Here is a 22,518-nt window from a genome sequence, read left to right on the forward strand (position 1 = left end):
CTGTCACCCAGCCTGGAGTGCAGTGGCGTGAACATGGCTCACTGCAGCCTGAAGCTCCTGGGCTCAAGCGATCCTCTCGCCTCAGTCTCCAAAGTAGCTGGGACCACAGGCCTGCATCACCACACCCAGCTAATTTTTCATATTTTTTGTAGAGACAGAGTTTCACCATGTTGCTCAGGCTGGTCTCAAACTCTGGGCTCATGCAGTCCTCTCACTCTGGCCTCCCAAAGTGCTGGGATTACAGGCCAGAGCCACGGAACCCAGCAATACTGTCTTTAATGAAACAGATTTTTAAGTAACCAATTTATCAGTCTTTTTGCTTTATACTTAGTGCTTTTTGTTTCCCAATTAAGAAAACTTAAATTTTTAATTTCTGGGTACATAGTAGGTGTATATATTTATGGAGCACAAGAGATACTTTAAAAGAGGCACACAACCATTTAAGAAATCTTTGCCAATCTCCAAGTCATGAAGATATTTTCCTATTTAGAAATTTTACTGTTTTACTTTTCACATTTGGATCTGCAGGGCATTCAGAATGGATTTTCCATGAATGGCATACATTAAGGGTTAAGATTCTTTATTCAAGTATCCATTTATGTATGAATCTGCTTCTACCACACTGCCTTAATTACCGCTGCTTTACGGTAACTCTTCCACCAGGTAGTACAGTCTCTCTGCTTGGTTCTTCAAGATCGCTTTGGCTGTTACAGGTACTCTGTGTTTCCACATAAATTTTAAAATCACGTGGCAATTTTGCTAACAATAAATATGGGATTGCACAGAATCTATAGTCAATGTAATGAGCATTCACATTTTTTATAACACCAAGTCTTCCAACTCATGAGCACAACTGCTCATTTATTTATTTAAAGGCCTTCAAATTTCTCTTAATAATATTTTACACTTATCTGTAGAGTGGTCTTACACATTTTTGTTAGATTTATTCTTAAGTATTTGATGCTTTACATGTTACTTTAAAATAATATTAATTTTTAATATATTTTTAAAATTGGCTTGTTAATAATATATAAAAGTACAATTAAATTTTACATACTGACCTTCTATCATGAGACTTTACTAAGTTCATCTGTTAAGTACTTGCTGGTCCATTTATAAATTCTTTTGGATTTTCTATTTATATAATTACCTCATCTGTAAATAATGACAATTTATGATTCTGCTGATAGTGCATTTTAAAAAAAATAATAGGCCAGGCGCGGTGGCTCACGCCTGTGTAATCCCAGCACTTTGGGAGGCTGAGGTGGGCACATCACCTGAGGTCAGGAGTTTGAGACTAGCCTGGCCAACATGGTAAAACCCCATCTCTACTGAAAATACAAAAACTAGCTGGGTGTGGTATGTGCCTGTAATCCCAGCACTCAGGTGGCTGAGGCAGGAGAATCACTTGAACCCAGGAGGTGGAGACTGCAGTGAGCCGAGATTGAGCCACTACACTCCAGCCTGGGTGACAGAGCGACACTTCATCTCAAAACAAAAAAAAAGAATAAAAAAAATGACAGCTCAATTTTTTCCTTTTTAATTATTACCTGTTTTCTTTTTTCTTGCCTTACTGCACTGGCTAGGACCTCTACGATAATAAGTAACTATGTCTTGTTGCCAATCTTGGGTAGAAAGCTGTTAATATTTCACCATGAAGTACGATGCTTGCTGTAGGCCTTTTTATAGACACGTTTTATCAGATTAAATAAATTCCCTTCTAGGGTGGGTGCTAAAATTGGAAATTTGAATGCTAATTTGATATTTGATGATGTTAAAGAATTATGGTATTTTAAGATATGACAACAGTACTATGGTCTTTTTTTTTTTTTAAAGTCCTTATCCTTTAGAGTATTTACTGAAATATTAACAGATGACATGATATGATGTCTCGGTTATGCTTCAAATGAATACAAAGGGAGGGGAAGTACATAAGGATATAAATGACACAGTACCAATCTGAATTAATATTTGAAGCTGTATGGTGATTCCATGGGGGCTGGTTATACTACTCTGTTGAGATAGAATTTACATTGTAAAATTCGCCCTTCCAGAGCACAACTCAGAGGTTATGGTTGTACAATCATCACCACTAATTCCAGAATATTTCCCCAAAAGAAACTCTGTATCTATTAGCAGTCACCTACCATTCCCCACTTCTCTGAGTTCCTGGAAACCACTAACCTTCTTTCTGTCTTTGTGTCCTTTTTGTGATCTTTTGAGTCCAGTTATTGAGGTTCATCCATGTTGTAACATGTATTAGTACTTCATTTTTTTGCAAACTGATATTTCACTGTATGGCCACATCATGTTTTATTTATCCATTAATCAGTTAATAGGCATTTGGGCTGTTTCCATTTTTGAGCTTTTACTAATAATGCTGCTATGAACACTTATGTACACATTTTTGTGTGAAAATGTGTCAGCTCTCTTGGGTATACATCTAGCAGGGGAACTCATGGGTCATATAGTAACTCTATTTAACTTTCTGAAGAACTGCTAATCTGTCTTCCACAGTGGCTGCACTATTTCACATTCCACCAGCAATTTCTCTAGACTCACACCAACATTTGTTAATTGTCCACCTTTTTGATTACACCCATCCTTCCTAATGAGCGTGAAGTAATATCTCATTGTGGTTAGGATACACATTTCCTTTTTTTGTTTGCTTTTTAAAGAGACAGGGTCTCACTATGTTGCCCAGGCTGTGGCATGATCATACCACCGTGCCTGGCTACATTTTTAAAATTCTTCTTTGTAGAGATAGGGGGTCTCCGTATGTTGCCCAGGTTGGTCTTGAACTCCTGGCCTCAAACTATCCTCCGGTATTAACTTTCCAAACTGCTGGGATTAAAGGTATGAGCCACCCCACCCAGCCCTGCATTTCCTTAATGACAATGATGTTGAGCATCTTTTCATGTGTAACTGGCTATCTGTATATTTTCTTCTGAGAAATGCCTATTCAAATCCATTGCCCGTTTTAAAATTTGCTTTTTATTCTAGAGTTGGAAGAGTTTTTGTATGATCTCAATACTAGACCCTTTATCAGATATATGATTTGTAAGTATTTTCTCTCATTGTATAGGCTGCCATTCAACTTTCTTGATAGTGTCTGATGCACAAAAGTTTTTAATTGTGATGAAGTTCAAGTTATCTGGTCAGGCGCAGTGGCTCATGCCTGTAATCCCAGCACTTTGGGAGGCTGAGGCAGGCAGATCACTTGAGGCCAGGAGATGGATACCAGCCTGGGCCACAGAGCAAGACCCCCATCTCTACAAAATAGAGACAGAGCAAGACTCCATCTCAAAAATAAATAAATAAATAAATAGAAGTTATTCAGGCTGGCCAGATACCCAAACAATTTTCCGAGAGAGAAGTATCAATTGAAAAATGAAAATAGTATATAAGTAACAAACAGTTTTAAAGTAAAATATAACTTGTACATAAAATATAACATAATGGAAGGTCATTGTACTCTCCAAGGGAGAAAGAGAAGACTTGAGAGTTGGTGATGGTTGGTAAAGGCAGGGTATGAGGGAATCATTCTCTGGAAAGTAATGTAAAATCAGATGACTGACTATGAGGCAGGCATTCAGTATCAGTATGAAGACATATTTTATGGTAATTCTTTTCCTTAGAACTTTGGCACTTAGAAAAAACTGATGTGGAAAGATTCATGACATTACCTGTAGATGAATCTTTGAGATTTAAAAAATACACTTTGGGCCGGGTATAGCAGCTTACACCTGTAGTCCTAACACTTTGTGAGGCTGAGAAGGTTGGATTGCTTGAGCCCAGAAGTTAGAGGTCAGCCTGGGCAACAAAGTGAAACCCCATCTCTACAAAAAATACAAAAATTAGCAGGGCATGGTGGTGTGCATCTGTAGTCCCAGCTACTCAGGAGGCTGAGGTGGGAGGATCACTTGAGCCTGGGAGACTGAAGCTGGAGTGAGCCGTGATCACACAACTACACTCCAGCCTGCGTGACAGACCAAGACCTTGTCTCAAAAAGCAAAACAAAACCAACACCAAAAACCACTTTTTGACATGGAGAAATACTGTATGTGCAAGACACACTGAAGAGGAACAGAAGATGCTACTTGATCACTTCCTGCTATCACTCCTTTAGCACTCCTAACTATGAGGTAGAATTCAAATTTGTTCCATGTGATAGTCTGACTAGTGTTGAGTAAGTCGCTACACGCAAATTTGCTTAGAACAATAATGTCTCAGGGCATAATCTGTGTTTTGGGTAAAGTGCTATCAACCTGTAAGGGTCATGATGGCTAAATACCATTAACTGAACAATCATTATGTGAAACAAATCTGTATCCTGATTATACATCCTTAACTTGGTCACAGTCGAAATTGAATTGATATTATGCTACCTCATACACAATATAAGAATATTCCAAAGTAAAATTATATTTTTATTCCTACCCACCCTTTGTGCTACTGTTGTCATATATTTTATTCTACATGTTATAATCTGAAAGTATACTGTTATTGTTTTGGCTTAAGTCAGTTCTTTTTTTTTTTTTTTTTTTTTGAGATGGAGTTTTGCTCTTTTTGCCCAGGATGGAGTGCAATGGCGCTATCTCGGCTCACTGCAACCTCTACCTCCCAGATTCAAGTGATTCTCACGCCTTGGCCTCCTGAGTAGCTGGGATTACTGGTGTGCACCACCACACCCAACTAATTTTTATATTTTTAGTGGAGATGGGGTTTCACCATGTTGGCCAGGCTGGTCTCGAACTCCTGACCTGAGGTGATCCACCCACCTCAGCCTCCCAAAGTGCTGGGATTACAGGCGTGAGCCACCACGCCTGGCCAAGTCAGTTATCTTAAAGCATGAAAGAATAATAGTCATACGTATCAATTATTTTTCTCTTCTAGTGCTCCTACTTCTCTGCTTCAATTTGTGATCCTTTTACCTTCAAGAATTTAGGATTTCTCACAGTGTGCAAATGTGGGAGATGAATATTCTCAGCTTTCGCTTGTCTGATAACACCTATTTTATTTTTTTTGAGATAGAGTCTTGCTCTGTCGGCCAGGGGTGAGTGCCGTGGCGGGATCTCAGCTCACTGCGACCTCTTCCTCCCCAGTTCAAGTGATTCTTATGCCTCAGCCTCCCAAGTAGATGGGATTACAGGTGCGGTGGTTAATTCTTTTTTTTTTTTTTTTTGAGATGGAGTCTCGTTCTGTCACCCAGGCTGAAGTGCAGTGGTGCAGTCTCGGCTCACTGCCAGCTCCACCTCCCAGGGTCACACCATTCTCCTGCCTCAGCCTCCCGAGCAGCTGGGACTACAGATGCCCACCACCACACCTGGCTAGCTTTTTTGTATTTTTAGTAGAGATGGGGTTTCACCGTGTTAGCCAGGATGGTCTCGATCTCCTGACCTAGTGATCTGCCTGCTGGGTTTACAGGCGTGAGCCACAAAACCTGGCCATTTTTGTATTTTTAATAGAGACAGGATTTCACCATGTTGGCCAGGCTGGTCTTCAACTCCTAGCCTCAAGCGATCTGCCTGCCTCTACCTCCCAAAATGCTGGGATTACAGGGGTGAGCCACGGTGCCTGGCCTATTTTCATTTTTTAAAGGGGTATTTTTTGCTGGATATAGAATTCCATGTTGGCATTTTCTCTCAGCATTTTACATTTATTGTTTCATTTGCTCTAGTTTCTACTGCTTGCTTTGTTGAGAAGCCAGCTGTCATTTTCCTTCCCTCAAGAGAATGTCTCTTTTTCTCTGCCTGCTTGTTGAGTTTTCTTTTTATCTTTTCGTTTTGGCAGATTGTTAATAATGTGTCTAGGCTAGGTGTGGTGGCTCACACCTATAATCCCAGTACTTTGGCAAGTCGAGGCGGGTGGATCACCTGAGGTCAGGAGTTCGAGACCAGCCTGACCAACATGGTGAAACCCTGTCCCTACTAAAAATACAAAAGTTAGCTGGGCGTGGTTGTGGGCACCTGTAATCCCAGCTACTCAGGAGGCTGAGGCAGGAGAATCACTTCAACCCCAGAGGCGGAAGTTTCAGTGAGCCGAGATCACACCATTGCACTGCAGCCTCAGTGACAGAGCGAGATTCTGTCTCAAAAAAAAAAAAAAAAAAAAAAAAATTGTTAGGTGAGTATGGATTTCTCTTGAGGTTCACTAAGTTCGTTGAATTTATGGGTTAATGCCTCTCATTAGATTTGGAAAACATCTTGGCCATTATTTCTTCGAATACTGCTTCTATCCCATTCTGTCTGCCTTTTTTTTTTTTTTGAGACAGAATCTCGCTCTGTTGCCCAGGCTGGAGTGCAGTGGTACGATAGTGGTTCACTGCAACCTCCACCTCCCAGATTCAAGCAATTCTCCCGCCTCAGTCTCTTGAGTAGCTGGGATTACAGGCACCTGCCACCACACCCAGCTGATTTTGTAATTTTTAGTAGATATGGGGTTTTTTACCGTGTTGAACAGGCTGGTCTCGAACTCCTGACCTCAAGTAATCCACCTGTCTTGACCTCCCAAGGTGCTGGGATTACAGGCGTGAACCACCGCACCTGGCCATGAATCTGTTTTTATGTCCACTAAAGCTGTCTTTTAAAACTACCCATAAGTTCTTAATTTCTGAAATTACATTTAGTCCAAAAATGTCTAATTGATTTTCTTAATAAAGACTAATTCTCGGTTGAAATACTTCATATTTTCATCCATTTTAATTTTCCTCTATTTATAGGAAAATATTTTATTTTCCTCTATTTTATTTATAGGAAAATATTTTATTTTCCTCTATTTTATTAGTTATTTGAAGTCCTTGTCTGCTATTAATAATTCCAATATATGAATTACCTCTTCTCTGGATCTCTCTCTGTTGGCTACTTTATCTCTTGATATCTTCCTGCTTCTTCTCATATCCAGCCATTTCTGATAGCATGCGGGACATTATGAATGGCTATATTATAGAATTTCTGGGTTATATAATTGTTCTCTAAAGAGTCCTGACTGCTTCTTACATAGACCTTCCACCAAATCTCCTGTTTTTTGGATACTATTTGTCCCCCATTTTCAGCAGTATCGTATCCTTCCTATTCCTTGGCTCTTTGAGAGTTCTTTTTTTTTTTTTTTTTTTTTTGTGACGGAGTCTCACTCTGTCACCCAGACTGGAGGGCAGTGGCACGATCTCACTGCAACTTCTATCTCCCCGGTTCAAGCGATTTTCCTGTTTCAGACTCCTGAGTAGCCAGGATTACAGGGGTGTGCCACGACGCCTGGCTAATTTTTTTATTTTTAGTAGAGGGGTTTCACTATGTTGGCCAGGCTGGTCTCAAACTCCCGACCTCAGGTGATCCACCCAGCCTTCCAAAATTCTGGGATTACAGGTGTGGACTACTGCGCCCGGCTGGCTCTTTGAGAGTTCCAAGGCACACATCAACTTTTTTCTGGGTTTCTCTTCTGTCAGATTCAGTCTATTGATGGATTTTGAGGTTTTCCCCTAATCCTTTGCTTTATAAATAATGCCACAACAAATATCCTTTTATAGACACATCTCTATCCATTCTTTTAACTATCCATAAATTCATAGAAGTAGAAATGCTGGGTCAAAACATATGCATTTTAGGTTGACTGTTTTATAGCTTGTTTTTATTCCCATACATAGGCTTGAACAGGGTTCAGCCAACTTCTTCTGCAGAGAGCCAGAAAGTAACAGTTCTCAGGGAACTGTAGTCACTGTTGCAGTTACTCAACTTTGCCATCCTAGTGTGAAAAGCAGCCACTGGCAATACATAAATAAATGGTGTGGCTGTTTCAATAAAATTTTATGTATAAAAACAGGTAGTAGACTGGATTTGGCCTAAGTGTTGTAGTTTTTTGATCTATGGGCTAGAGAATGCTTAAATACACACATCCTTATCAATACTGTGTATTTATCCTTTTTTTTTTTTTCTTTTTAAGAGATGGGGGGCTCACTTTGTTACCCAGGCTGCAGTGCAGTTTTGTGATCGTAGGTCACTGCTACCTCGAACTCCTGGCTCAAGGGGTCCTCCAGCCTCAGCCTCCCGAGTAGTTGGGAGTACAGGTGCGAACCCATTTATCAAATTTTTGATATTTGCTAATCAAATGGATGACAACAGTGCACTCATTTTTTGCTGAATTTTTATGCTTTTGATTCTGAGGGAGAATAAACTTTTTACTGTTTATTGGACACCTTTTTCTTTTCCTGTGAACATTCTATTCATGTCTGTTATGTTTATTAATAGCATTTTCTATTAACAAATATAGTCCTTTTCATCTGCATTGTGAATACTTTTTTACAAAACATTTTTTGGGGAGAAAACTTTCAATGTAATCAGATATAGATGCAGATATATATTTTTAAAACATCATTTGGGGTTGTGTCATATTTAGAAAAGCCTTCCCTCTAATCTTCTAGTATTCTTCTAGTTTTATTTTGTACTTGACTTACCTAGGTTTTCGTAAGAGTAAGTAGTTAACCTAAATAGCCAATCTGTCTCTGCTTATACAGCCTCCGGTCCCATCTACCTTCTATAATGTGATAGAGTGACTTTTGCCACATATAGATGCCTCTTCTAAGACCCAGATCAAGTGTCACCTCTTTTATTTATTGATTTATTTAAGACAAAGTCTTGCTCTGTTGCCCAGGCTGGAGTGCAGTGGCACCATCTCGGCTCAATGAAACCTCCGCCTCCTGGGTTCAAGCAATTCTCCTGCCTCAGCCTCCAGAGTAGCTGGGATTAAAGGCATGCACCGCCATGCCCAGCTAATTTTTGTTTTTTGTTTTTTTTTAGTGGAGACAGGATTCTCCATGTTGGCTGGGCTGGTCTCAAACTCCTGGTCTCAAGTGATCTACCTGCCTCAGCCTCCCAAACAGGTGGGATTACAGGTGTGAACCACCATGCCCGGCCTCATCTCCATTATTAAGCCTTTTCTGACATCAACTCACCTGGACAAAATTCATTTTTGTGTCTCCAGTGTCTTCTGTATAGACTTCTACCAAAGCACCCAATACTTTTTGCACAGAGTTGATTTCACATCAGTCTCCTTTTAATGTGCTACTATAGCGTTTGGCAAAAAGAAGATGACTGTGTGATAAGTAAATGAGAAAACTTTAAAACAGGAAATTCTAAAGTTGTAAACTTGATAAGCAGAGAATTATTTTCACATGGTAGCTGTAACTGAAGAAAAACTTAAGTACGTAAATATTATTTGGGAGAACCTGCAGGCTTCTACAATGAAGGGTTATTTGTTGATTTTACCAGCATCCTTAAAGTTTGTCATCCTTTTAAGATTAAGACTGTAAGAAAACATAGCACTTCCCAGAACAACAGGAAGAGCATCCCGAAATCTGTCATCGTATCTATAAAGCACATATGGCGCATCACAGAAAATCCATACTTACATGATTGCAGTCTGAAGAAATTTCATTTTCAGGCTAGAAGAGAAAAAAAAGAAGAGATGATGTAAAAAAAAAAATATATATATATATATATAGAGAACCTTTCAAGTTTTCAAACACCACCAAAATAAACTCAAAACAAGAAATCTGAATATTCAACCAAATATGCTTCTTCAACATAAGGAGTAAAATGGAGCTTGCATATCTTTTAGGCTGTTGGGGAGAAATGTACCAGAAAGGTACATGAGACTTAACCCCTTCCCGATGGTGCAATGTGAAGATGGGGAGAATGGAGAAGAATATGCTAAAGCAATAAATAAAGCAACAATGACATAAGGACTCCTACAGGACACTTTATAATTCACTTATTATAGAGTGCAGAGAAAGTCGCTCAATTTTTATTTATTTATTTTTTATTTTTTTTGAGACAGGGTCTCACTCTGTCACCCAGGCTGCCATGCAGTGGCGCAATCATGGCTCATGGCAGCCTCAACCTCCCAGGCTCAGGTGATCCTCTGGCCTCAGGCTCCCGAGTAGCTGGGACTACAGGCGCAATGTCACCAAGCCCAGCTAATTTTTTTGGTATTATTTATAGAGACGGGGTTTCACTATGTTGCCCAGGCTGGTGTACAACTCTTGGCTCAAGTGATCCACCCACCTGAGCTTCCCAAACAGCTGGGATTACAGATGTGAATTACCGTTCCCAGCCCCCATCAATGATTTTTAAATTGGCCTAATGCTGCTATTGGGGGAAGCTATGTGATGGGTATGTAAGATCTCTAGGTACTGTTTTTGAAACTTCCTGTGAGTCTATAATTCATAACAAAAAGTTTTTTAAAAAAAACATTTGGAAATATATTCCTATGGATACATTTGCTTTGTAAAGCCAGATACACATACCAGAGATAAAATGAACTTTCAGGCAGGGCACGGTGGCTCACGCCTGTAATCCCAGCACTTTGGGAGGCTGAGGTGGGCGGATCACAAGGTCAGGAGATCGAGACCATCCTGGCTAACACAGTGAAACCCTGTCCCTACTAAAAATACAAAAAAATTAGCCGGGCGTGGTGGCAGGCGCCTGTAGTCCCAGCTACTCTGGAGGCAGAGGCAGGAGAATCGCATGAACCCGGGAGGCGGAGCTTGCAGTGAACCGAGATCGCACCACTGCACTCCGGCCTGGGCCACAGAGCGAGACTCCGTCTCAAAAAACAAAAAACAAAACAAAACAAAACTTTCAATTCCATGACAGAAAAAAAGTGTGGACTAGGTTTCACGTAGTATTACATAGCTTTGCAATACATAACTCCTTTAGTTTCCTTGTTCGTGCCTTCAAAGGAGACACAACTGCAATAAAACACACCATAAGGCGGCACCATTTCCTGGGTGAGTGCAGTGGCTCACACCTGTAATCCCAGCACTTTGGGAGGCCGAGGCAGGCAGATCACTTGAGGTCAGGGGTTCAAGACTAGCCTGGCCAACATGATGAAACCCCGTCTCCAGTAAAAATACAAAAATTAGCCAGGCGTGGTGGCACGCGCCTATAGTCCCACCTACTCAGGAGGCTGAAGTGGAAGAATTGCTTGAACCTAGGAAACAGAGATTGCAGTGATCTGAGATTGTGTCATTGCACTCCAGCCTGGGCAACAGAGCGAGATTCCATCTCAAAAAAAAAGCATAATTTATTTTGAGTTTCCATAGTATTCGAATCTGTTTATATAAAGTGAATTCTGTGTGCCTATAACTTAAATATTATCAATTTAGGTAGCAAAACATGCTAGTTTTAAAATAAACAGATGTTTTCTATCCAAGGATAAAGAAAAGGCAATAAAGAAAATAGAACACATCAAGTAGCCACACCTAGCATTATTTCAAGAAGAAAAAGGTTTCCCTATGGAATTATTAATTCCACTGCAGAATTCAGTAGGCATTAGCAACATACAAACTCATTTTTATACTTACAACATATATTAAAATTGACTTTAATTAGGTTGCTAGGTAATCATAAGATTCTATTATATAACACAGTACTTTTGAACTTTCTCCCTACTTGTCTAATAGCAGATACTTTAATGCCTTTTTAAGGTGCCTTTCTCAGTCTCAGAAATCAGCCTCCATGCTGAGTCGACCTAGCTTAACTCTGTTCCCACCACCTCAATCTGAAGTTTAACTTATATCTCTTAATAGTTTATTTACAAGAATGCTTTTTCTTAGACAGTTTTCTACACTATCCTTTTAAAATCTATCCTTTAAGTTTTCCCAATCAATTAGCAATTCTAGCTCTTTCTCAAACAAGGGATGGAAGGCAATTAATATCACAATCTTCTCTACTTATACTCATTTCTACTAAACAACAAATTTGGATTAAAGGTGCATTCTTGAAAGAAATTTAGAGCATTGGAGAATTTTCAAAATAATGTCAAATAAGATGTAAGCTCCCCATAGAAAGAAATGTATTGTCATGTTTAGAGTCCACAGGACTATATTAGCAAATTAATTACTGTTTTAATGACTTGCTTCCCTACAGCGGGAGACTGGATTATTTCTCCCAATTTTTCACTTGCATAGGATTTTACATCCAGATCCTCTGTTTTGTAAGTCTGTACCGCCTCCTGCTATAAACTGAGTATACACCCGGCTCCGCTGACGTTGAGCAAATCAAGATAGCAAAAGAGATGAAAAGCAAGCACTGCAGTCCACATTTGCAGTTAATTGAGTCTCCATGGATGATGTCATTCCTTCCTAAGAGGTGCAGTACTGTGTGCTTAGTAATACTGTTAATGTAACATAATATAATATAGGCCACTGACATGCTCAGGCCAATGGAGTTTTAGGAGATACAATATGAGCAGAGGATTTAAATGTGCCTGGGTAGTTTGGCCTGTATTCCTGCACCCCTGCCATTCCCCATGAGAACATGGTAGTACAAAGAAAAGAGACATGTGGAGCAGACCTGAACTTAACCCTCAACCTGTAGCCTGAAGCAAAGCCATCTCGAATAACCCATGGGAAAGAAAAACAAGCCTCGAGTTAAGCCCATGAAAGTTTGAGGGTGTCTGTTATGAAGAAAAAATGACTAATATATCTATCAAACAAATAAAATAAAAATATCAAAGCCTTTAAATTAGAACCTGTAACAGCTATGATCTAAAATTAGTGAATTATATTGGAAAGCACAGAGCACTACTGTACCTTTCATGAAGAAATGACATAATCCATGGAGACACAAAAGTGCAAATCTGGACACCAGTGCTTGCTTTTCATCTCTTTTGCTATCTTGATTTGCAACTGACTATAAATGCGTCTTATTTTTGCATTCATTCATTCATTTAGTTTTGAGATAGAGTCTTGTTCTGTTGCCAGGCTGAAGGGCAGTGGCACCATTATGGCTCAATACAGCGTCCACCTCTTGGGCTTAACTGATCCTCCTGCCTCAGCCTCCCTAGTAGCTGAGACTAAAGGTATGTGCCATGATAGCTGGTTAATTTTTTAAAATTTTATTGTACAGACCGGGTCTCGCTATGTTGCCTAGGCTGATCTCAACTTCTGGTCTCAAGTGATCTTCCTGCCTCACCTGCCCAAAGTGCTGGGACTGCAGGCATGAGCCAGTATGCCCAGCTTTTTCCTAGGTTTAGTTTCTCTATGCAGAAAGAAAAGATGACAGAATAGGAATGCCGTAAAAACAAGGTTATGATGTTAGGTCTTTGAGATTCATGGAACCAAATCGCTATGAAGAATTGTTAAGCATAATTGTGACAATTAATTTCAGAAATTTAGAGGGGTTTTTAGAATCCAAGAACACAGTGGTGATTTAGAGGAAGAGAAGAGAGAGAACGAAATATAAAATACAAAGGAGTATTTTATACTACCCGGGGAATGGTGGGTGCATCAATAATGTCAGAATAAATGAACTCGAGAAAGTAAATAAAAATAATAAATAAATAAAAAGAAAACACTATGCTTCAGCACTCAGTCATGTGATAAAGAACCAATGAACAGAAATCTCAAGGAACGAAAACAGATGCAGGTGCTGATTCGGGTTTGGTTCTCATACTGCACCATTCTCATTATGTCCCAATTAAACCACTTCATCAGATATAGTACATCTATTTCCACAAAACTTTAAGTGCAGACAGGCTCACTTGTCTCTAATCCTAGAAGATGAATAGCATGAGGAATAACACCCATAATTACTAAAATAAGATAAAACTGAGGATTTTTTTTCTTCCTCTTTGGTAATAATTAGTGAAATAATGCTCTGAGATGATCCCAAGAAATTAGCCAACAAGTATATATTGAATAATGATGATGAACTCAAAATTGTGCTAGGCATTGTTGCAGGATACAAAGACAACATTCTATCTGGTCTCTAATCTCAAGTTGTTTACAATCCAGTTATACAGTTAAAATAGCGAAATCAAACAAGCAAGAGGAGGGACTTGAGATAGGCCTAAAGAATTAGAAGAGTGATCTCCAAAAAGGAGTGGAGTGATTCCTCAAGGAAGAAGTTACATGATCCCTTGGGGGTCAGGAAGAAAATAACAGAGCTTCTGTTTTTAAAAAAGCTTATCCTTTAATTTATGTTTTAACGTATTTTTATAATGCATATAACATGGGTGTAACTAATATTTTATGAGTATGTATCTACTGGGGGAATGGTTACTGATTTTTCAAATGATAGGAAGAACATGACCAAGATAGAGGAAAAAAACTTCTTCTCATCATTAAGATTCCTACCTCTACCTGCATTCTTCAAACCAGGGGCAAAGTGCTGGCTCCTAGCCTGTGGAGGCATCAAATTAGAAGCTGAGCTATGTCACATTATCAGCTACTCCTTATCTGGAGATAGAAGTCTGGGCTTCAAAAAGAAGGATCTCTTACATCAAGTATTTACTCATTGGAAATAAAACTGTCCTCTTACTATGGAAAACTGTAAGAAAAAAAGTTATGAAAAGTATAATAAATAGCTGCTAATTTAATGACCAAATATGAGAGAAATGATTCCTGACATTGCATATATTAGTATCAATAAGTAAACTATTATAAACAGAAGAATGAGAAAATGAAGAGAATTTAGCACATCCCCATCCCAATGCATCAGTGACTAAAACAGAGAAGGAACTTGGGTAATGCTGTATAAATGATACAGCAAACAAAGGCAGTAAAGGGAAAAGCACCAAGTACTTGGAGACACCTGCTTGACTTCAATAAAGAACATGATGAGTGTATCAGGAAATGGTTAAAAAACAAAACAAAAAACCTCACAAAAAACAGAAAACAAAAAAGAACCCTGCCACTTTTCTATAGTAGTTAGCAATAGAAGTGTGTGACTTTAGGTACATCACTTAACTTCTCTAAACCCCTAACAACAGGCTTTGAACTAGAGTGGGAATCCATGAACAGGCTTTGGGAGTCTGAGATATCCTGAAATTGAACGCAAGCATTTGTGTGTATGTATATTTTTCTGAGAAGAATATCCACAACAGCTATCACCATCTCAAAAAGATCCACGAGACAAGAAAAAATTAAGAAATACTGGTCAAACATTGGTTGCGGTTCTTTCCAGCTTTATGAGTCCATAAAATCTGAGATGTGGAATTTAAAAATGTACTTACTGAATTTCAAGTTTTTTTAATGCAGATAATTTGTATATTATGATGGTTACTACTGTTTCACCTTAATCTCTCCTAGTCAAAGTCACAACAAACAGGTTTCAGAATAAACTACTGAAAAGCTTGAGTCTGAATGTTCTCAAATCAACTACCGCATTCACTTAGGAGGAAGGTTTTTACAGAAAGTCTGGAACTATGATTTCCCCAAGGTGAACAGGCTGAGTTAATGAGTCTGGAAGGAGAAATTAAAGGATTCATAAAGCTATCTTGGAAGGTGTCCCAGTTTCTGAAACAGAAATGCTTGGGAGTTGGATGTTGTCTAAAATATGGAACATTCTACAGTTTCCACTGAAGCTGAACTACATCAGATCACATAAAGGAATAGGGTCCTTTTTCTAAGATAACTGGTACTAAATTAAGTGACAACCAACTTTGTTTTTGAATCCCTCAGGAGAAAACAAACAAAAGATGCCAACAGTATCAGTGCTTTTACAGCCTTAGAAAAATTTGAAGTCACGCGATAACCTAATGCCTCCTTTCAATTGGAGACACTCTGCTGCAGTATTAAGTCAAGTCTTCTGGGAGTTTATTCATTAAGAACCCAGTAACTTCCCATCACACGAACACTTCATTTATTAACCTTGTCCAAAGCCCCAATGACAATGAAGATAATGTAGCTGGTCTCTAACAAAATAAACCCAATCTTTTACCCCCGGGAAACTCTCCTGAGCAAGTCTAAATGCAATCTCGATCCTCAGGTTTAGAACTGCTTTCCTCTTAGTGCCTTATTCTGGCTCTATCAGAATTTATTTTTCTTATTTGTACCCAGGGATAGTGGCTGAGTATTGTTTTTCCAAAAGGACAGTGATCAGCACAGGCTTTATGCCTTCCAACAATGTTCTGATTCACTAAAGAGTTGTAGCTGCTTTTATTTAAGTCTTTAGCATTCAACTACCTTTTCAAAAAGGAGTTACTGTACAGGTCCAACGGGAGATTTTGAGATTTTTTTTTTTTTTTTTTTCTTAAAAAGACATGAGATACAGAAGCTGGCTCTCAAGTGCATATCTAATCATCATACAAGGCTGAATGTGGAGTTTTTAGGGGGAAAGGAGGACTTGATATTTTAAAGAAGGAAAAAAGCACCAATAACCCTATGAGATGAGTATGGCAATAAAGTCAGTCAGAGAAAGTTTCATGGAGGGTACATTTGAATTAAGTCTTATAGGCGGTTGTGGTTTGGTTAAGGATGCTGTGTGCAGGCTGAGGCAGATGAGAGGTAGGCTGTGAAAGGTGGAGCACTAGGCTGTGGGTGGCATTGAAAAGGCACATTCTGTGCCGATGGCTGAGAAAGTGAGGGACCCCATGACAATCACTCCTAGGCTTATTCATTTGGCATCTCCTAATACGTGCTAGGACAACTACAAGTCTTTAGTAAAAATCCAACATTGGTCCAATAATGGTTTCTCATAGTTCAAATTAAGATGTCATGCTAAACACAGTGTCATAATTTGATTTACTTTTATTACTTGTGTGCTTCCCAAGTGGACGGTGGGATAACAGTTGTCAAATATTATATAGTTACTCCTATAGGAACACGTTAAGTTTTAAAGATAGACGGGGAAAGACCCTCACAGACAAATTAGAGCTCATTTATCCCTGGTTCTTAAAAGGTCTCACATAAATATAGAACAGTGAGTGGGCTATGTTGACGTTAAAACTTGTCTTGTACCTTTAAAATGAAAAATCTCCTCAAAGCCCTTTAATTCTAATAAAATAAAAGGGTATACGTATTTTACAGTGGGAATTAGCAGAATGACTCAGAGAGCATACTTACACATAGGTATAAATATACTGACAGGACTTTTAGCTTTGTCAAGTACTAATTAAGTCATCTTCAGTGAGGTTATATCCCTATTCTGAAAATATGAAAACACAGAGCAATCGCTAATTACTCAAAACCACTGCTTTGGACCTAATGGTTGACCTCCCTCCATCTCCCAAAAAAGACTGAGTAACTCCTGACTCCCTGACAGAAAGATCCATCTCTCTAGAGAAGATGCTCTGCCCCAAACTTTACTTTGAGAAGTCAAATTACATCTTAGTTTTAAGAAAACTCTAACACTAGTTAAACTGACCAAGTGGAAACACTCAAATTAGTATAATTTCTCATCTTCTATGCCCAAAGCAGGAAATAAAAAATAACAAATAAGAATATAGTTCATGGTTGACCTGTGAGTGAAAAAATAAACAAATACAAATATATATATATTTTATATATATATATTTTATATATATATATTATATATATTTTATATATATATTATATATATTTTATATATATATATTATATATATTTTATATATATATTATATATATTTTATATATATATATTATATATATTTTATATATATAATATATTATATATATATAGCAATTTAGTTATTGAACAAAAACTGAATCATTACATTATGGCAAATGTAATGACTTTTACATTGGATTATAATATTTATTAATCCATGAATATAAAAATACATAAATTTTATAAAGTATTAAATGTAAATTTTGAAGTATAAACTGTAAATTTTATAAAATGTAAATTACAAAAACATGTAATTTTTTTCTACCGTGTATAAAAAAATGTAAATTCTTTCCTTATATTTCCCATTTATTTTACTACCAGGAATTAGAAACAAGGTGCTCATAAACTATAGGAGATAGGCCATCCCTTTAGGGAAACATTTAGAGATATTTCTTTTCATATACAGAGCTCAACCAATCTTTTCATCAAATTCCCATCTGGGACTGCCTAACATTTAAGAAACGTAAGGATTGTCTTGCAATGACAAGAGTTTTTAAGTCTGCTGGGACTAAAAATCATCCCCATGACAGTCTACTATCTGAAAATTTTTTCCTCCCACCACTCATTTTTTCTCCCTAGGAGATGACTTAGAAATCTAGAATACAGTTTGGTGCTGGTGTTAACCATTTTTACCTAAATTATGGGGGAAGGAAACAGAGTCAGGCACTCTATCAAATGCTTGTTCAGATTCCACTTTGGCATCGAGGGGAAGAACCTTGGACAGGTTTATCCCTTTGGCTCCTAGCCACGGCAGGCACACAGCTATCAAGAGATAAAAGGCCTTGTTTTCACTGCTCAGCTGCCTGAATAAAGTCAGTTACGGTGTCCACATGTAATGAAAGTGGCGCTAATGTTTATAAACTGCTTTGTAGGAAATACATCAAAAAGGTCATATTTCTGAACTGTGAGGTTGTAACTACCACACTACTACTACCGAAATACAGTATAAAAATTCTTCTGCCGGGTGTGGTGGCTCACGTCTGTAATCCCTGCACTTTGGGAGGCTGAGGCGGGCAGATCACAAGGTCAGGTGTTCGAGACCAGCCTGGCCAATATGGTGAAACCCTGTCTCTACTAAAAATACAAAGATTAGCCAGGCGTGGTGGCGCATGCCTGTAGTCCCAGCTACTTGGGAGGCTGAGGCAGAAGAATCACTTGAACCTGGGAGGCAGAGGCTGCAGTGAGCCAAGATCACACCACCACACTCCAGCCTAGGTAGCAGAGCAAGGCTCTGTCTCCAAAAAAAAAAAAAAAAAAAAGTCTAAAATCAGCTACTCATGGTATTTTTCACATCTCATAAAAGAAGATACAAGATAACGGATCCCCTCAAGCTATCATGTTTGAGAGGCAAAATGGAAACAAGAATTCTGGAATAACAGCCAAAGACTTGGGTTTTGATTCCAGTTCCACTGCACATTTATCACATAACATTCTTTAAGCTTCAAATTTTGTGTAGATAAAAGAGGTAAATCCTGCTTTACCTACCTCATGGGGCTATTATAAGCATCAGGAGAAAAGTTATGTAGAAGGCCTTCAAATATTATAGAAGGCTTTGCAAATATATGCGACCACTAGCCTTTCATTCTCTGTATAAAATCTAACCATTTTAAACAACAAAAACGTTACTGCTATCCAAGAGGCCATGCTTCATACAGGCAAAGAATAAGAATTCAAAATACATGACACACATGTTTTATTGTATGTGTATAGGTTATTTCTGAAAGGATACCTAAAAAGGCTTATTTTTACTACATACTCTTTGCACTTTAAAATTTTTATACCATGTGTAAGAAAAGGAAAAAAAAGGTCATTCCAGTTTAGGATATACACAGACACCTCAGAAAATATTTAGAATACATCTTCATGACTGGGAAAGCAGGGGAGTTTAATGATACATTTTCCCAGTTCATATTTTCCTATTTTTCCCCCTTCCACTGTCTATTTCAAAGGGGTGGTGGCAGGGAGGAAATATATATTTACATCCTCTGGGACACAGCAGGTAGCAATCTGCCCTCTTAGAGTCCTAGACTGACAGTTCTACTCTAAGAAAAGCACATGAACCATCTGATGATCTGGTTTGAATAGTATAGCTAACTTTTACATGGGAGTTTTAGAATGCAGGGTGAAAAAAATTATCTGAAGGGCACCGTATGAATAATGAACAGAATTATCAACTTTGATATGGCATCCTTTTATATTCTTTCTTTGCCCTGTCACATGATTTGGAACAGCTGAACAAAGGTACAAATTTGTCAAATCAGTAGCTACTATAGCCAAATGCAAAGAAGAAAACTAGACTAGGCCGGGCGCGGTGGCTCACGTCTGTAATTCCAGCACTTTCGGAGGCTGAGGCGGGCGGATCACCTGAGGTCAGGAGTTCCAAGACCAGCGTGGCCAACGTGGTGAAACCCCATCTCTATTAAAAATACAAAAAAATTAGCTGGGCATGGTAGCAGGTACCTGTAATCCCAGCTACTTTGGGAGGCTGAGGCAGGAGAATCGCTTGAACCCAGAAGGCGGAAGTTGCAGTGAGCCGAGATTGCATCATTGCACTCCAGCCTGGGTGACAAAAGCGAAACTCTGTCAAAAAAAAAAAAGGGAAGGGAAGGAGGGAGGGAGGAAGGGAAGAAGGGAAGGAAGGAAGGAAGGGAGGAAGGAAGGAAGGAAGGAAGGAAGGAAGGAAGGAAGGAAGGAAGGAAGGAAGGAAGGAAGGAAGGAAGGAAAAACTAGACTAAAAGAAAAAATTTCCAGACATCTGACAATACCATTAATGTTTACAACCAGTAAATCTGGAATGATTCTGTCAATGCAGCTCATACTACCAATCCAACTTTGTTACTTCTATAATTTTGAAAACAAAATACAAATGAGGGATGTAAGATTACATGATGCAAAAAAGTCCTGAAATTAAATATAATTTCTCACACCCCAGACCCGAGTACCTGCACATGCCACAACTCTTCCATACTGACCCGTGGTGAGTGCATTGTTTACTTGAACTGGCCTAAGCAAGAGCAAATAGGGCTGAGCTGCCAGAATGTGCTGAACTCTTTCTGTATAACCCAGTGCAAATTACTGGTGCTTCTGAAGAGTACAGCTTGGATTCAGGAAGTGGACTTCCATCTGAATTAAGACAGCACACTTCACTGCACAATTCTGAAAGATGCGTAGCTCAAAGAAAGAGACCAGGGCTAAATTGGGAAAAAAATTTAATATATTTTAAAAACAGAATCAGGCCAGGCTCAGTGGCACATGCCTGCAGTCTCAGCTACTTGGGAGGCTGAGGTGGACAGCTTTCTTAAGACCAGGAGTTGGAGGCAGTAATGTGTTATGTTAGAGCCTGTGAATAGCTACTGCACTCCAGCCTGGACAACACAGTGAGAACTTACCTCTAAAAAAACAGACAAAAAACTGAAATCTTCTGGGTTTGCAAATGTTAGTAATGTGCATAAAAATCTGATAAAATCCTCAAAAAGTCCCTACATTTCTTCTTGCTTAGATAACATCATTCTACAGTTGGTAGAAAAAAGGTATACATCAATAATTACCACTATATCAAACTATATTATAGTTTGGGAAATACTGATAAACTAATCTAAATATTAACAAAGATGCAATCTAAAAATTACCCATAATCTCCAAATCACATCTGTGCCTTTTAAAGTGCTAATTTTCTGTTATGAAATTAACTGATTTTGAAAACAAAGTACAAAGTACAAAAGACCGGGAGAATCCTGCTGATGGTACTCCACCTGAGCCAGTGATCACCACACGACCTGAACAAATTCTAATTCCCTGTGCTTCAGTGAGAATAGGGGGGAGATGGGATAAAAAGCAAGACAGCTTGACTCCAATTGATTGCAAATCTAATATGATTCCAGAAAAACAGATGACTACCTTTCCAAGGAAGGGAAAATATTGTTATAGAAATGGCTTGGAGAAGTGAAAGGAGATGGGCAGAACAGATGCAGATCCTTTTAGAATTACTGTTTTAAAACATCTCATAGGTATGTCAATGGTTGAAAATGTATTAGCTCCCTAATAAAGAATGTTCATCTCCATTAACGGAAAAACAAAGAAGACTCCTAAGTACTTCTAAGCATTCATTACTATACAATCTATAGGTCTGGCTATGCAGCACAAATTTTGGAAAGAGATCTGGGAACAAATTTGGGCTCTTCCAGGTACTAGCTGCAAGATCTTGGAAAAATTATTTAACATGTTTTTGTTTTGTTTTGTTGTTTTGAGACAGAGTTTCACTCTTGTTGCCCAGGCTGGACTGCAATGGCACAATCTCGGCTCACCACAACCTCCACCTCCTAGGTTCACGCGAATCTCCTGCTTCGTGTGAGAATCTCCTGCACATGCAGGCGTGGTGGCATGTGCCACCAAGCCTGGCTAATTTTGTTTTTTGTTGTTGTTTGTTTGGTTGGTTTTTTGAAATGGAGTCTCACTCTGTTGCCCAGGCTGGAGTGCAATAGCGTGATCACGGCTCACTGTAACCTCCGCCTCCCAGGTTTAGGCGACCCTCTTGCCTTACTTAGTCTTATGATTACAGGCGCGTGCCACCACGCCCAGCTAATTTTTGTACTTTATAGTAGAGACAGGGTTTGGCCATTTGGGCCAGGATGGTCTCAATCTCTTGACCTTGTGACCCTCCCACCTCGGCCTCCCAAAGTGCAGGGATTACAGGTGTGAGCCACCGCGCCCGGCCATTATTTAACATCTGTAAGCCTAAGTGGAGCAAAATACTTAAAGCACCTAGCACAATGCTAGTAGTAAGTATGTAATAAATATAATCTATAATTATAATAATAATTATTGCATACTTCTAGAAGAGTGTTAATTCTGCATTGCCCCAATCCCAAAATAAATCAATCTCAAAAATAAGAAAAAAATACAAAAGAAGTGTTCTATTAAAGCCTCAACTTCAGGAATAAGTTTGCAGATATGTAGATTCTGGCTACAGGAAGGCAACTTCGGTTTAAATTACATCAATCACATTAGGATAAACTAGAAAAAAGGAATAAATTCAGGAAATTCTGGTGGAAAGATCTAATCCTAATGGAAAAACAGGATTTAAATCACTCCACCAAGTATTCTTGTTTTTGTTGAGACAGGGTCTCGCTCTGTCACCCAGGCTAGAGTGC

At 38.7% G+C, this 22,518-nt stretch overlaps 1 protein-coding gene across 5 annotated transcripts in view; it reads right to left on the bottom strand.

The window, feature by feature from the left end:
* The window catches only part of GLG1 (golgi glycoprotein 1), a 159,675-nt gene that overhangs the window by 75,278 nt on the left and 61,879 nt on the right, over positions 1-22,518 (bottom strand). For 4 of the 5 annotated variants that reach the window (NR_027265.2, NR_027264.2, NM_012201.6 and 1 more), the window contains exon 2: positions 9,404-9,436. The exons of the other annotated variant lie outside the window; for it this stretch is intronic. Coding sequence is in view for 2 of the 4 variants with exons in the window: in NM_012201.6 (NP_036333.2) it covers positions 9,404-9,436 (33 nt within the window). In the remaining 2 variants the exon portion in view is untranslated. The remainder of the gene's footprint in view (positions 1-9,403; positions 9,437-22,518) is intronic. 5 annotated transcript variants of the gene reach the window in all.

This window comes from Homo sapiens, chromosome 16, assembly GCF_000001405.40.
Source record: "Homo sapiens chromosome 16, GRCh38.p14 Primary Assembly".
NCBI classification, from domain to species: domain Eukaryota; kingdom Metazoa; phylum Chordata; class Mammalia; order Primates; family Hominidae; genus Homo; species Homo sapiens.